Source organism: Homo sapiens, chromosome 14 (assembly GCF_000001405.40).
Source record: "Homo sapiens chromosome 14, GRCh38.p14 Primary Assembly".
Classification (NCBI taxonomy): domain Eukaryota; kingdom Metazoa; phylum Chordata; class Mammalia; order Primates; family Hominidae; genus Homo; species Homo sapiens.
The window spans coordinates 90,656,296-90,669,956 of NC_000014.9; the positions used below are offsets into that span (position 1 = coordinate 90,656,296).

General features: G+C 44.9%; 1 protein-coding gene across 3 annotated transcripts in view; it reads right to left on the minus strand.

The window, feature by feature from the left end:
• Window positions 1-13,661, minus strand: part of TTC7B (tetratricopeptide repeat domain 7B) — a 291,867-nt gene that overhangs the window by 131,732 nt on the left and 146,474 nt on the right. For all 3 annotated transcript variants that reach the window (NM_001320421.2, NM_001010854.2, NM_001401365.1), the window contains exons 10-11: window positions 2,009-2,092; window positions 879-983 (exon numbers count right to left, since the gene is read on the minus strand). In NM_001320421.2, the coding sequence (NP_001307350.1) occupies window positions 879-983; window positions 2,009-2,092 (189 nt within the window). The remainder of the gene's footprint in view (window positions 1-878; window positions 984-2,008; window positions 2,093-13,661) is intronic.

Here is a 13,661-nt window from a genome sequence, read left to right on the forward strand (position 1 = left end):
TCCTTTTTATTGCTAATCTTGACATGAAGTTAAAGAAAAGAAATTAGAACCCTATCGTATGTGGCAATTATCTATACCACCATCTCGGCAATTAGACTGAGTTTTCTATTTTCTACTCAAATGATGTATTTTCTGAGGTACTAGAATTGTTACAAATCAGGGTATTGCCAAATTCAAATCTGAACAAGAATATTTGAAGAAAAACGCGTATGTGAAGGAATAGAAATGAAGACAGTTGAATTTAACATATGAGCTGAAATATAGGGTGACTCCTTGCTCTGTAGAAAGTCCCAGGCTCCCAGCCTAGGCAACAGAGTAAGACCCTGTCTCTACAAAAAAATTAAAAAATTAGCCGGGTGCAGTGGAGCACACCTGTAGTCCCAGCTACTCAGAAGGCTGAGGTGAAAGGATGACTCGAGCCCAAAAGGTTGAGGCTGCAGTGAGCTCTGATCGTGCACTCCAGCCTGGGTGACAGAGCAAGACCCTGTCTCAAAAACAAAAACAAAAGCAAAAACAAACCAGGTTCAGCCAGGGATGCTAATTCAGTGACGTGTCTCTTCTCAGTCCCACATTGCTTGAATAAAGCAAGATGTATGGGAGTATGAATTATAATTCTGTCTTATTATCATTATTCCTGAAGCACAATCCCATAGGAAAAAACCCCTGGAGTACCCCAGAGTACTCCTCAGTCCTTGGGGGAGTGGATGAGGCCTGAGGAGGCCAGGGGCCCAGGCCCAGGGTCCGTGGCTCTACACAGTCTTGTCTTTGTACAGCTGATGAATCACCCTCGCTTTCTCTCTGTGCCTCGACATGAAAAAAATGGGCAGTCCTGGCCCAGAGTCCTCTGCAGGAGCGGGGAGGGGGGCGCCCCTACTCACCCAGTGCAGGGAGCCCATGCAGAGCTTGGCAGCGAGGAGAGGGATGGTGGCATCGTCTGGCTTCAGGCGGATACACTCTTTCAGCACCTTCACGGCACGGGCAGACTTGGCAAGAGAAGATTATTTCCGTGAAACTCAAAGTGTTTGACAGAACCGAATACTACAGCCTTCTCAGAGGGGTTTTTGGTCAGGGTGACCTCCTCGTGGGCTTGTCCAACTTTAAGCCCAAGCAAGCGGGGGCCTGAGGTGCATGAAAACCAGAGCCTGCGGCTTCTGAGTGACTGGGGAGTACACTGGGTTAAAAGCCAGCAGGAATGCTTCTCTGGCGCCACCTGAATTTCATTCCATACTTGTGTAGCTATTGGAAAATTAAGAAAAACATAAAGATGGTGGAAGTTTGTTCTTATAAAAGGTAAATATCTAATTTAAGGCACAAAATACTGAATTTCTGAATTCACTTAGCTCAAATAATCTTCCATCTCAGGCTTCATTCGCTAAATGGCCCAAATTAGCAAGAAAAACAATAGCTACGACCTCTGTTGAGTGTATACACAGCAAGGAGCGTGCCTCTAAACACCTCTGGTGTAGCATCTCATTCTCCTGATAACACATCTATGGAGCAGGTGCTGTTCTTACTCCATTTTACCGAGGAAACTGAGCTGCTCAGTAACTTGCCTGGGTCACTCAGCTGGGAGAGCAGCATCAAGCTTCTATCCTGCCGTTGGACTCCCTCAGCCCACATTTTCATCCAGTATCATGCACTGCCTAATATAACACATTGCTCAAGATAACCAACAGGTTTCCCCTCCAGGAATCAGCTTAACTCTCAGATGAGTGGAGGTGTCTGTGTAAAACATCAGCTCTAGTTTAAGCCATGTCCATGACACCTGATGAAGTCACAATGACTGGAAAAAGACAAATATTTCAGAATTTTTCTTCTCAGTGATAAGTCCATCTTGGCTCCCCAAACAATTAAATCTGATTGTTCACTGAGAACGGACCACGATAGTTTCTCAGAGTGGCTCGAAAGACTTCCACAAAGTCTATCATTCCGTGCAATTCCATGACATTCAACTCTTTGGCCTTAATAGGAAAGGCATAAAAAACTGCCCATCACAAAAGGGACTCACTTTTCCAGCAGCCATCAGGGACAGAGCAAACTGGTACCACAGGTGGAATTCCTCAAAGGCAAACTTCATGGCTCTTTCTAGGCACTGGTTGGGAAAGAAAAACAAATGCAGACATCTGAGAATCACTGGTGCCACAACTGCACAAGTGTGAGTTTGTATCTATGCACACTAAGGTAAGTCCCATAAAATCTGCTTCCCTTGAATGCTTAAAACATAATCCACCACCAAACGGCTCCTACGGAGTCCCCACACAGGATGATGCACCATGCCGGTGGCCAGGACAACCTACAACTGACCAGAGCTGTGACAATCCCTGCCCTCGAGTAGCTTTGTATCTGGCACAGGAAAAGAGGCAAATACACCAACAACACAAAGACAAAGACAAACTCAGGAGTGCCCCCAGGGCGAGAAACAGGACTGTGGTGAGGTGATCCCAGGAATCAGGAATGGCATCAGGGAGAATAGAAACTGAGCTGGGCCTTCCCCAGCCCAGCCCCACTATGAGACACCATCAAAGGCAGAAACCACAACTTCTTTATCTTCTCAGTACTGGTGCATTGCCTGCCGTGGTGAGTAATCTACAAACGGACTTCCCTCTCAGTCAGCGAGGAGCCTCTGGTCCCTGCACAGAGTGACATGATGACGTTAGAGCTTTAGGAAGATCGTGGGGGACTGGGGTGAGTGGGGTGAGGTGGAAGACCCTGATGGAGGCAGGCCAGGAACAAAGTGGATAGAATGGTCCAGGGGTTTCAGAATCAAGAAATGTGTCCGAGGTCAAATCAGCAAGGATGGGTCACCTGTGGAAGCATGCGGGGACTGGGGAGGCACAGGAGGTGCCCAGAGTTTCTGGCTTGCATACCTGGGGGAGAATCCATGCCACAGAAGGCCCTTGTGTATGCACGAGTGTGATTGTGTGTGTGTGTGTGTGAGAGAGAGAGAGTGTGTGGAGTGTGTGTGTGTGTGTTTGAGAGAGAGGGAGAGAAGGGGAGGTGTTTTTTTTTAGGAGAAAGGGAGAATGGGGAAGGAAGCTGTCATGAATGAGTTTAGCACGGGAAATACTGAGTTCAAGGCATCATGAGGTAATTTACCAAAGACATTCTGGGACCTCAAGAAAAAGATCTAACAGAAGACAAACATTTGAGAAAAGAGCTGAAGTTACTAGAAGAGATCAGATCAGTCCAGAAGAGTATTCAGAGGCAAGGCAGTGGGGCCAGACCATGGAAAGGGAGAGAAAAGGGATCTGGAAAGGAGGGCGAAGAAGGGATCTGGGTGGGAGGGCATGCAGCAGTGTCACAACACAGAGAGGGACCCGAGAAGGGGCCAATGGGGCCAGCGGCAACGGAGGCCAAGAAGCCACCACAATCAATCAGGTGACGAGCTCCGCACGTGTGGCTTTAGGGGACACGGGAGGAGAACACAGGCCATGGGGACCAATAAGCAAAGAAAAGATGGAGATGAGGTATGAAGGAAGGATGTGTGGGGTGAAGAAAGGTTATCTATGTGTTAATTTTTCATAGAGGCAACTCAAGCCTCTCGCTAACATGAGCAGAACCAGCATGCAGAGTGAAGACTCTGGGGAGATAAATTAGGTCCCAGAAGACTAGAGAGAGCCAGGTCCCCGGAACAAATGTATCCCTGCTGAGAGGCCTTCTCCTACAGAGGCAAGATCCTCCAGATAAGGAGGAGAGAATGGCAGGTGGTGTCGGGCCCAGCCAGTTTTCTCTGTAAAGATGGAATGAGGTGGGTGCTGGGAGGAAAAGAAAAGAATAATGGCAGGAGGTTTTAAAAAGAACAGAGGCGGCTGGGCGCAGTGGCTCACACCTGTAATCTCAGCACTAGGGAGGCTGAGGCAGGAGGATCACTTGAGGCCAGGAGTTCGAGACCAGCTAAGGCAACATAGCGAGACCCCTGTCTCTACAAAAAAAAATTAGTAAAAATTAGCTGGGTATGGTAGTGCACACCTGTAGTCCCAGTTACTCAGGAGGCTGAGGAGGGAGAATAGCTTGAGCCCAGGAGGCCGAGGCTGCAGCGAGCTGTGATCGTCGTACCACTGCATTCCAGCCTGGGCAACAGAGCAAGACCACCCTGTCTCAAAAAAAAAAAAAAAAAAAAAAAAAAGAAAAGAAAAGAAAAGAAAAAGAAAAACAATGCAAAAAATAGAAAAGGTTTAAACAACAACAAAATCCCCCTCCACCAAAGGGGAGAGAAGGCTCACAGCAGGGTCAGCTCAGAGACTGGTGCAACCACGCAGTGGAGCCTGCACCACTGTGTTGCCACCTTCTCTTGTGCTGCTAGGAGGCCAGTGCAGGAGCACAGGAAAATGATGGGATGTTCAGGATTCACGGACAGTGAAGGAAGGAGGGCAAGGAGCTGCAGTGAAGGTGACAAATGGGTAAAGGTAAAGTGAGGTGGTGGGAGAGGAGAGAAAAGAATTCTAGAATTTTAAATGATATATACAGAGGTCACACAGTAAATATCACGCTAGTTGGTTTACTGTGAAAAGCTGTTCTGACAAAAACATATTCTATTTAAAAGCAAAGTAATAAGCATTAACAAGCACCTAGTGCTTGGCGATGGCACAGGGTGGGCATCCGAAGACCTTGAGCAAGGTGAGCACGGGCAATGTGTTCAGCTCAGGGCTGGCTGCGGGCCTCATCCTACGCCATGGGACATCGGCAGGAGTGGCTGGGCGAGGCCTCCAGGAGAGTCCTTTAAAAGCAGGGCATTCTCTGCCAGCACACACTTTGCCCTCAGCCCTGCCCCTTCACAGCCGGAAGTAGGGTGGCCAGGAACACTGAGCAGAAAGAGAAAGCGCGTGGCCCTGATGCCATGAGGCGCTGCAGCTGCTGCACCAGCCTCTCACAGGCTTCTTGCAGGGGGAACCAAATAAATTCCTCTTTGGCTAAGCCACTGCATGCCGGTTTTGTTAATTACATCTGAATATACTCCTCACTAGTGCGGACACCAAGCAGCAGACCTGGAATCTGAACCTGAACCCAGGGCCCTCTTAGCTGCTTTGCTGTACTGAGGAAGGTGTCACTGTGCCTTTAAGGAGCACAGCGGGGAGGCAGAAATGAAAGCAGCATGCTGAGACCAAGTAGGCAAGACAGGGTGGCGGGAGAGACGTAACCCAGGTCTGGGAGGCATGGGCTGGGACTAAGTAGGGGAGGACAAGTGTGATGGAGGATGCTAAGCAGTGAAAAGCTAGCAATACCTAGAAACTGACTTGGGGATGGGGATGAGGGACGATGGAGGAGGAGGAGATGAGAATGATCACTGTGGCTGAAATAAGACACGGGAGCCGGTATGTGGAGAGATGGTAGATAATCAAAAATAAGGATTATTCTAACAGCCCTACTCAACCAATACATTGCAATAACACCACCAAGTACTTCAATATACTTAGTAAGTACTTAAACACTAAGTACTTAAACATTTATATGTTTAAATGGTTTTTTTGTCCTCCTTTTGCTAAGAGGAATGATAAATATCAACTGTTTTCCTGATCAACAAAAGGAGCTCTGCAGCTGAAACAGCCTGTTCTGAATCAAAAAGCTAGATGCTATAAATAAGTATGCACCCTTCTTTTCTTGCATGCCAAAGGCTAACAGCCTCATTAAACTCTGTGAAGCACATTCACCGGAGGTCTAATTGGTATAGAACTGCATTCCAGGTGCTACAGGAAAGAAAAACAGCCCCAGTCCTCATCAGGAGTAGAATCACGGGATCCTGTGGCTGGAGATCACTTGGGGAGCATCTAGTTGAAGCCCTCAAAGGAGAGGGCCCTTGTCATTCTGGCTGCCTGTTACTTCAAAACTCTTCTGATTTTGGCAGGGGGGACGAGCAGGCACTCCCAAGAAGAGAAGCGATAGGAATGTGGCACACGCGTGGCACGCAGACAGCCAATCACAGGCTCCTGCCAGCCTCTGAATCTGCAGGTAGGGAGGCAGGGAAGGGGCCTCTGGACCTCGTTCCAAGCAACCTGAGTGAGCTGGGACCTCCCAAATTGGGGCAGGGCCCTTGTCTCCCTGAATCTGTTCCAGTCTCTTCTTCAGCCTCTGGTGGAACTGGTGAGCTTAGCAGTGCAGATGGATAAGTTACTTTTCTGCTTAACAAGTCCGGTTCCGTCACCTACAGCCAAGGCCCCGAAGGTACGCCCATTCAAACACTTCAGGCTCCTCCTGTAACAACCCTTACCTTCCAGCCCCCAACAAGTTGTAGAGCTTCTGCCTGAGACCCCTTCAGAATAGGGAATACACAACCTGAATGGCAGCTAGAAATACAGTTTCAAGGTGCACAACAGATTGGGTGTGTGAATTCAGGCAAGCAATTAACCACTGTGTGCCTAGATTCCCCACTGTAAAATGGGAACTATGACAGTAATTAATGCAGAGAGTTACTAAGATTAAATTAGTTACTACATACAATGCCACAGGAAATAGCTCCTCAGAAACAGGCTAGTGAGTACTAAACAAAAGTTAGCTATTATTCCTTTTTAAAAATTTTAACATTCTTATATTAGGAATGGAAACACAACAAATTGTATCATACCTATCACTTTACCCAGATTCAATGTATGAAAACTCAAATTTACAATGCATTATATCAGAAATAAATATCTTTACAAAATATTTACAGAACTTTGTGAAATGTTTCCTCATTTTAGAAAAGGATTCAATCTGAGACCCTTGAGAAGAGGGCACAACTTTACAGAACTGGACCGGAATGTACGCTTATTCTTTATTACTTTAACAAGTGTGGTAACACTTACTCTGTAGCCAGGCACTATTTTAATTACTTTACAAGCATCGCCTCATCGGGTGACCCTAAGGACCCTGCAAAGTACAAGGCAGGTAGGCCCCTTTATCATCGTCCATTTGCAGGTGAGGAAACTGAGATGCAGAGTTGTTAAGGGGGTACGCGGGCCTCAGAGTTGGTGGTGGAGCCAGCTGGGAGTGAAGCGGTCTGCTTCCAGAGACTGAGCTCTTCACCACAACACTACTGCCTCTGAAACTTTAATTATATTGTGCCACTCACACTTCATTTATCAGGCCCACTCATGCTGCAGAAAGCAAAGGACAACTAAATAAAAGGCCCCTAAAAAGGCCACATGCTTCTTGAACTGTTTCAGAGACTCAGCGATATGGTTTTTTTTTTGCTGCTAATGGGGACCCTTGCTTGAGGCTACTAAGGACTGAGACCTTTCCAGCTAGTAGAAGTGTCAATCAACTTTACTGATCCCACGATATCCACCAGCACCACGGCAGCCAGTGGTGCCACGTCTCCAGCCCATCGCAAAGTTCTCAATCGACAAAGATTACATGAGTCCTGTGTTTCCTCTACAGGCAGCATCTCTCCCAGTTCCCTCCTAGTTTGGACCTCTTTCTCATAATGATAACAACCCACCTCCCCTAACAAGCCATGAGGGTGTCCTAAAGAGAGTTAGGAAATCTGGGTCAATTACAGATTAGCCCTCCACCCCAATTCAGAGGTGTGTGAGCTCTGGCATCACAGCCGATGGCGCTGCCTGCCAGTGGGCTCTTGGCATCTTATGAGATACAGTGACGGCACGCCGGCTTTGGAAAAGCACCCAGACAGCTTCAGATGCTCCTGAAATGCTGATGCCAAGCATGCTGCCTGGATATATAACATGTCCTCCCCTATGTTTCTGTAAACATGAAGATTACATAAACCCCTAAGCAGCTCAGGTCAACCATACCTCAACTACAAAAGGAGACTCCCTGCCAAAAAAATGCACCCATGGTAAAAAGGAATGTGGGTTGTCACTGGGGGCTTTTGCTATCCACAACCGTCGCCCCTTAGGCTGTTTGCTCATCCCAGTTATGTTTGCCTATCCCTTTTTAAGAACCCTACCGTATGTGTATGGGACAGAGTAAAAAACTGCAGTTTTAATGTTGTGGGGAGATGGAGAACATAAAATAAAAGCATTCACATTTTTTATTTTTTTAATATTTATTTATTTTGAGACAGGGTCTTGCTCTGTCACCCAGGCTGGAGTGTGGTAGCATAATCTTAGCTCAGTGCAAGCTCCGCCTCCTGGGATCAAGCGATTCGCCTGCCTCAGCCTCCGGAGTAGCTGGGATTACAGGTGCCCGCCACCAGGCCCAGCTAATTTTTTGTATTTTTAGTAGAGATGGGGTTTCACCATGTTGGTCAGGCTGGTCTTGGACTCCTGACCTCAGGCAATCCGCCCGCCTCGGCCTCCCAAAGTGCTGGGATTACAGGCTTGGGCCACCATACCCAGCTGCATTCACATTTTAATAATGGTTCCAGTGAAAAAGATGCATTGATGAAAACGGACTTTTCAGAAGATGGCAGGTGTTCTGTGCATGGGGGGCATATAAGAGAGTGCTTTAATCACTCAAGCCCAGCTCGCAGGGCGTGAGGACAAAAAGAGCAGTCACATGGTAAAGGCACTGGTTCTGGGGCCAGGCTGCCTAGGCTTAATCCAAGCTCCTCACTCCCAGCCATGGGGTTGTAATGGGGGTTAAATGCAGAAATACATGTGAAATGCTCAAAAGAGTGGCCCACAATGAAGGCTATCAATGGGTTGGCTTTTATGAAACAAAGCAAGAGTAGATCTTCAGGGTTCTGAAGGGCAGATGAAGGGGAGAATGAGAACCCCTGGGAATGAGGGTGGGCATGCCAGTGGATGGCAAAGGCAGTGTGAATAGGAGTCTTTGAGTGGCATGAGCTAGATTCTGGCCCCTTTTCCACTTGTGGAGTCCAGCAGAGGGATGGCAGTGTGGGCCTAGGAAGGGAAGTGGGGCCAGTCCAGGCTGCAGATCCCTGAGTCACCCACACAAAACAGCAGGTGACATCTCCAAATCACCTCCCTCACAAGAAAAGAAGATGGATTTGGCAGTGGTATTATTTCTACCAGGAAAGATAGGTCCATTCGCTGTAATCACATGACTGCCACCTCTCTAATCCCAGATAACATTCATTTAATACCATGAATATTTGGTAGAACAATAATTAGACTCTAAATGGCATCCTAATCATTTAAGTGCGAGTCAAAATGTCACTTGCGAAAACGTTTCCTTTTGGTAGCAAGAGCTTATGCCTTTCCAGTCTCTTTTTCCAGCTTTTCATAAATCAGCCATCTCTGAGGGGGCTCCAGGAATGAGAAGCTTTTCTGGCATCAGAAAGGGATTTAGCAATTACCTCCCTAGTACACAAAGCCCAGTTACACAAACTGGGTGCGCGGCAGCGACAGCTGTACAGTACCACAAGCACAGCAAAGCCAAAGTCTATTTTTGGAATTCAAGAGTAAGATTCTGCATCCAAATCCCACTGGGGAGGGGGCAGAAATAAAATAATCAGATACCCCTCAAATTTAGCCTGAAGTCTACGTCCAAAATTCATCACTATTAAAAGACAACAAATAGCATAGTGAACTGTCATCATTATTTACCTCATAGACAGGTCAGCCATATCCTAAAAGTTCTTATGACATAGATCCTTCAGTTCTTCAGGGAGACTTTCTCTTCCACATCGTGTATACTTCACGAGTCAGTTAATCAAATTCCTTGCAGTTGTGTAACTGATTGTTTTTAAACATGATATATACAAAATATTTCACTTTGTTAACTTTTAGCAATAAAAACCTCTGTAAGCTATTCAGACATTTTGGGCCATCACCTTATACCCACAGACTGACAGAATCACAGAGCAATTTGAGGCCTTTGAGATTATCTGATCCCATTCTTACTTTACAGATATCGAAACTAAGACCCAGAGAGGAGACAGGACCTCCCCAGGGCTGCACACAGTGGCAGACCTAGAGTCAGAGCCAACATCTCATGATCCTCAGTTCAGAGCTCTTACTCCTAAATTTTTTATTGTTGTTGTTAGATAGAGTTTTGCTCTTGTTGCCTAGGCTGGAGTGCAATGGCGTGATCTCGGCTCACTGCAACCTCCACCTCCTGGGTTCAAGTGATTCTCCTGCCTCAGCCTCCCAAATAGCTGGGATTACAGGCGTGCGCCACCACGCCTGGCTAATTTTGTATTTTTAGTAGAGACAGGGTTTCACTATGTTGACTGGGCTGGTCTCAACCTCCTGACCTCAGGTGATATGCCTGCCTTGGCCTCCCAAAGTGCTGGGATTACAGGTGTGAGCCACCACACTCGGCACTCCTAAATTAACTAAAAATGAAAGTACAAATTAAAATGGAGTTTGAGAGGTCTATCTACAGGAGCCTGGGTCCAGGAAAAGCTTCTAAAAGGCATATTTATGGGACTCTCAGCTACAAATAAAAGTCCCCCTCCTTGCCCCAAGTTTGGAGAAAACATAGACATCAAAGCTTGCTCAAGTTTTCTCTCCTTATGTTGGAAATAAAGCAAATGTATCCATGCCCCACCTCTTCCCATTTCTCTTTTTGCTTTAAAACAGCAATACTGCTCCAAGCAGGGAAGTCTCAGAGTTTTATTGCTTTGGCAAACACTTAAAGGATATCATTGCCTCTGGCCACAGTGAGAGGAGTAGAGTGGGTTGTTTTCAAAGGTCACAGATTTTATTATAGAATTTGAATGCTGGATGCGGTTTTCTGGCATGCTCTCCTCTCAACTCTACGAATCAAGTAGACCAAGCTTGCACATTGAGTAAGGGGTCTCCGGGGTCCTACTCAAATACTACTCCATCTGCTGCTTTGCCAATGTAGCTGTTCCTTGCAAAATGCAGTGAATTCACAAAATGGGCATTCCATTCCTCCTGTCTCCTCAATTGCCTCTCACCTTTTGGTCTTTTCAGTCTCTCTTCCCTGGCTTGGGGCACTGGGTTTTAACCCTTCAACCATGGCTGCCACTTAGCCCATGCCAGGACTAAGGGAGGAAGTAAGGAGTTGAGAGTGCGGCAGCCTGGGACATACCACGTACAAAATAGTTGCATGGTAAATGCTTGAATGAAGGCTGGACAGAGAATTGGGATCCATTCTTTTGGAGATCCTTTAAGGAGGGCCACAGCAAACATGGAGGCAGGGAGGAGTACTGGAGTTGCCAAGACTGGAGACAACGACATAGCAGAAAGGACAGAAGCAGGGTCGCTGAGCTATGGCCTGAGGGCCCATTATGACCTACTGCTTGCTTTTAGAGCCCAAAAGTTAAGAATTGCGTTTATAGCTGAACATACACCATCAATTTGGTGAGAGGGGGTATTAACTTTAAACCCAAATTAAGCAAAATGTTATCCCCTACCCCCGCAAACAACCCCATTCTTCTCATGCATGGATCTATATTACAAAAGTTGTACTCATTATATTTTGAGTTTCATTGATTAAAATTTTGCAGAAATTTGTTTTCTCTCGTTATACCTACATGCTATTCTTGGTTTTGTCTCTTAGCCTTTGAAGCCTAAAATATTTAGCATCTGACGCTTTAATTTGCTGACCCTTGTTCTAAAGGAACTGGGGGCACTTTAGGCTGAAGGAAAAAAGACAATATGACAACTGTCTTCAAAATTTGGTGGACTCAATAGGGAGAAGGAGCCATCCATTACCAGGGCATCTTTACTATGGAACATTCTCCCACCTGTGAAAAGAGGCAGATCTAGACACATGAATCTGGTACAATCTTCAGGATAGATCACCAGCTGGATAAAACATAGATTTTATGTCCTGTGGCATGCTACTTTTGCACTGAAGGGGAACACACACATATGCATAGTGGCCTGTGGATTCATAGTCAGTCTTTAGAAGAATACACAAGTAACTTCTTCTTCATGTTTCCCCTTGGCTCTGTTGTAATACTTCCCTTGTGCAAATATTACCTGCTCAAAATAGATAATAAGACCAACCAAAAAAAAAAAAAAAATTGGTAGACTGTCAGTGAGGTGGGGCTGGACTTGCCCTACTGCTCCAAAAAGACAGAATAGGTAGAAATTACAAGGAAACTCATTTTAGATCAATCCTTTCTAATAACCAAAGAGGAATCGAACAATATATATTACCCATCAATTGCTGTGCTAGCTACATTATAGCCATTATCTTATTGAGCTTCCTAACAGTCTCTGAGGTAGGAGCTCAGAGTAGCCAAGTATATTTCTCAAAGTCTCACAGCTAGGAAAGGGCAGAGCCAGAATTTGAACACAGATCTCCCTGACTCCAGGGCTGAATTTTTTTTACTGTACAATGGGTACTTCCCTATATAAGGGTCAAGGATCATCTGCCAGAGTTATTATTTCATACAAAGGAGATTTTTACATTAGAAAGCAGATTATTAATGCCACCAATAACAATAGTAACATGCACTTCTTGCAGTAACATACATTATCTCTTTAATCATCACAATAACATTCCAAGGTAGATCTTATTATTATCTATGTTTTCCATATAAGGGGACAGGTTCAGCGAGGTAATGGAATCTGTTCAAGTTCATATTCAGCATGTAAAGTAGCAGAACTGAGATTATCACACAGGTCTGATGTTAAACTATGAGGCATTGTTGAGACGGCAATGTCATCCAAAGTGATCTATAAATTCAATGCATCCCTATCAAAATTTCAACTTTTTTTTTTTTTTTTTTTTTTTTTTTGCAGTAATGGAAAAGCCAATCCTCAAACTCATATGGAATTGTAAGGGATCCAGAAACAAACTGGAAAAAGAACAAAGTTAAAGGACTCATACTTTCTGATTTCAAAGCTTACTACTAAGCTACAGAAATTAAAATAGTATGGTATTACATAAAGATACATATACAGACCAAAGGAACAGAATTAAGATTCCAGGAAAAAATTCATAAATTTATGGCCAATTGGTTTTTGATAAGGGTGCCAAGTCCATTGAATAGGGCAAAGAATAGTTTTTTCAACAAATGGTGCTAGGACAACTGGATTTCCACATGCAAAAGAATGGAGTTGGACTCCTACCTCACACCATATACAAAAAAACTATAAATGGACAAACAGCTCAAATATAAGAGCAAAATTGTAAAATCCTTAGAGGAAAACAAAGAATTAAACCTTCATGACCTTGGATTTGGCAATGGATTCTTAGTTATGACACCAAAGGCATAAGCAACAAAATAAAAAATAGATACACTGGACTTAATCAAGATTTAAAACTTTTGCACATCAAAAGACATTTCAAGAAAGTGAAGCTGGGCATGGTAGCTCATGCCTGTAATCCTAGCACTTTAGGAAGCCAAGACGGGAGGATCACTTGAGGCCAAGAGTCTGAGACCAGCCCAAGCTGATTTCTACAGTCTCGTCTCTACAAAAAAAAAAAAAAGCAGGTGTGGTATCTCTAAAAATATAGCTGACCAGAGTTTATTATTTAGACTTTAAAATTGGCAAAAGACTTGAATAGTAGTTTCACCAAAGAAGATATACAAATGGCCAATAAGCACATAAAAAGATGCTCAACATCATTAGTTATCAGGGAAAAGAAAATCAATCCCACAATGAGATATCACATCACACCTACCAGAATGTCTATATTAATAATAATTTAAAAATAACAAGTGCTGGTGAAGAAGTGGAGAAATTAGAAACCTGTGTATTGCTGGTAGGAATGTAAAAATGGTACAGTCACTGTGAAAAACAGTCTGGCAGTTCCTCAAAAAGTTAAACATAGAATTATCATATGACCAAGCAATTCCACTCCTAGGTGCAAACCCAAAAGAACTGAAAAAAGGA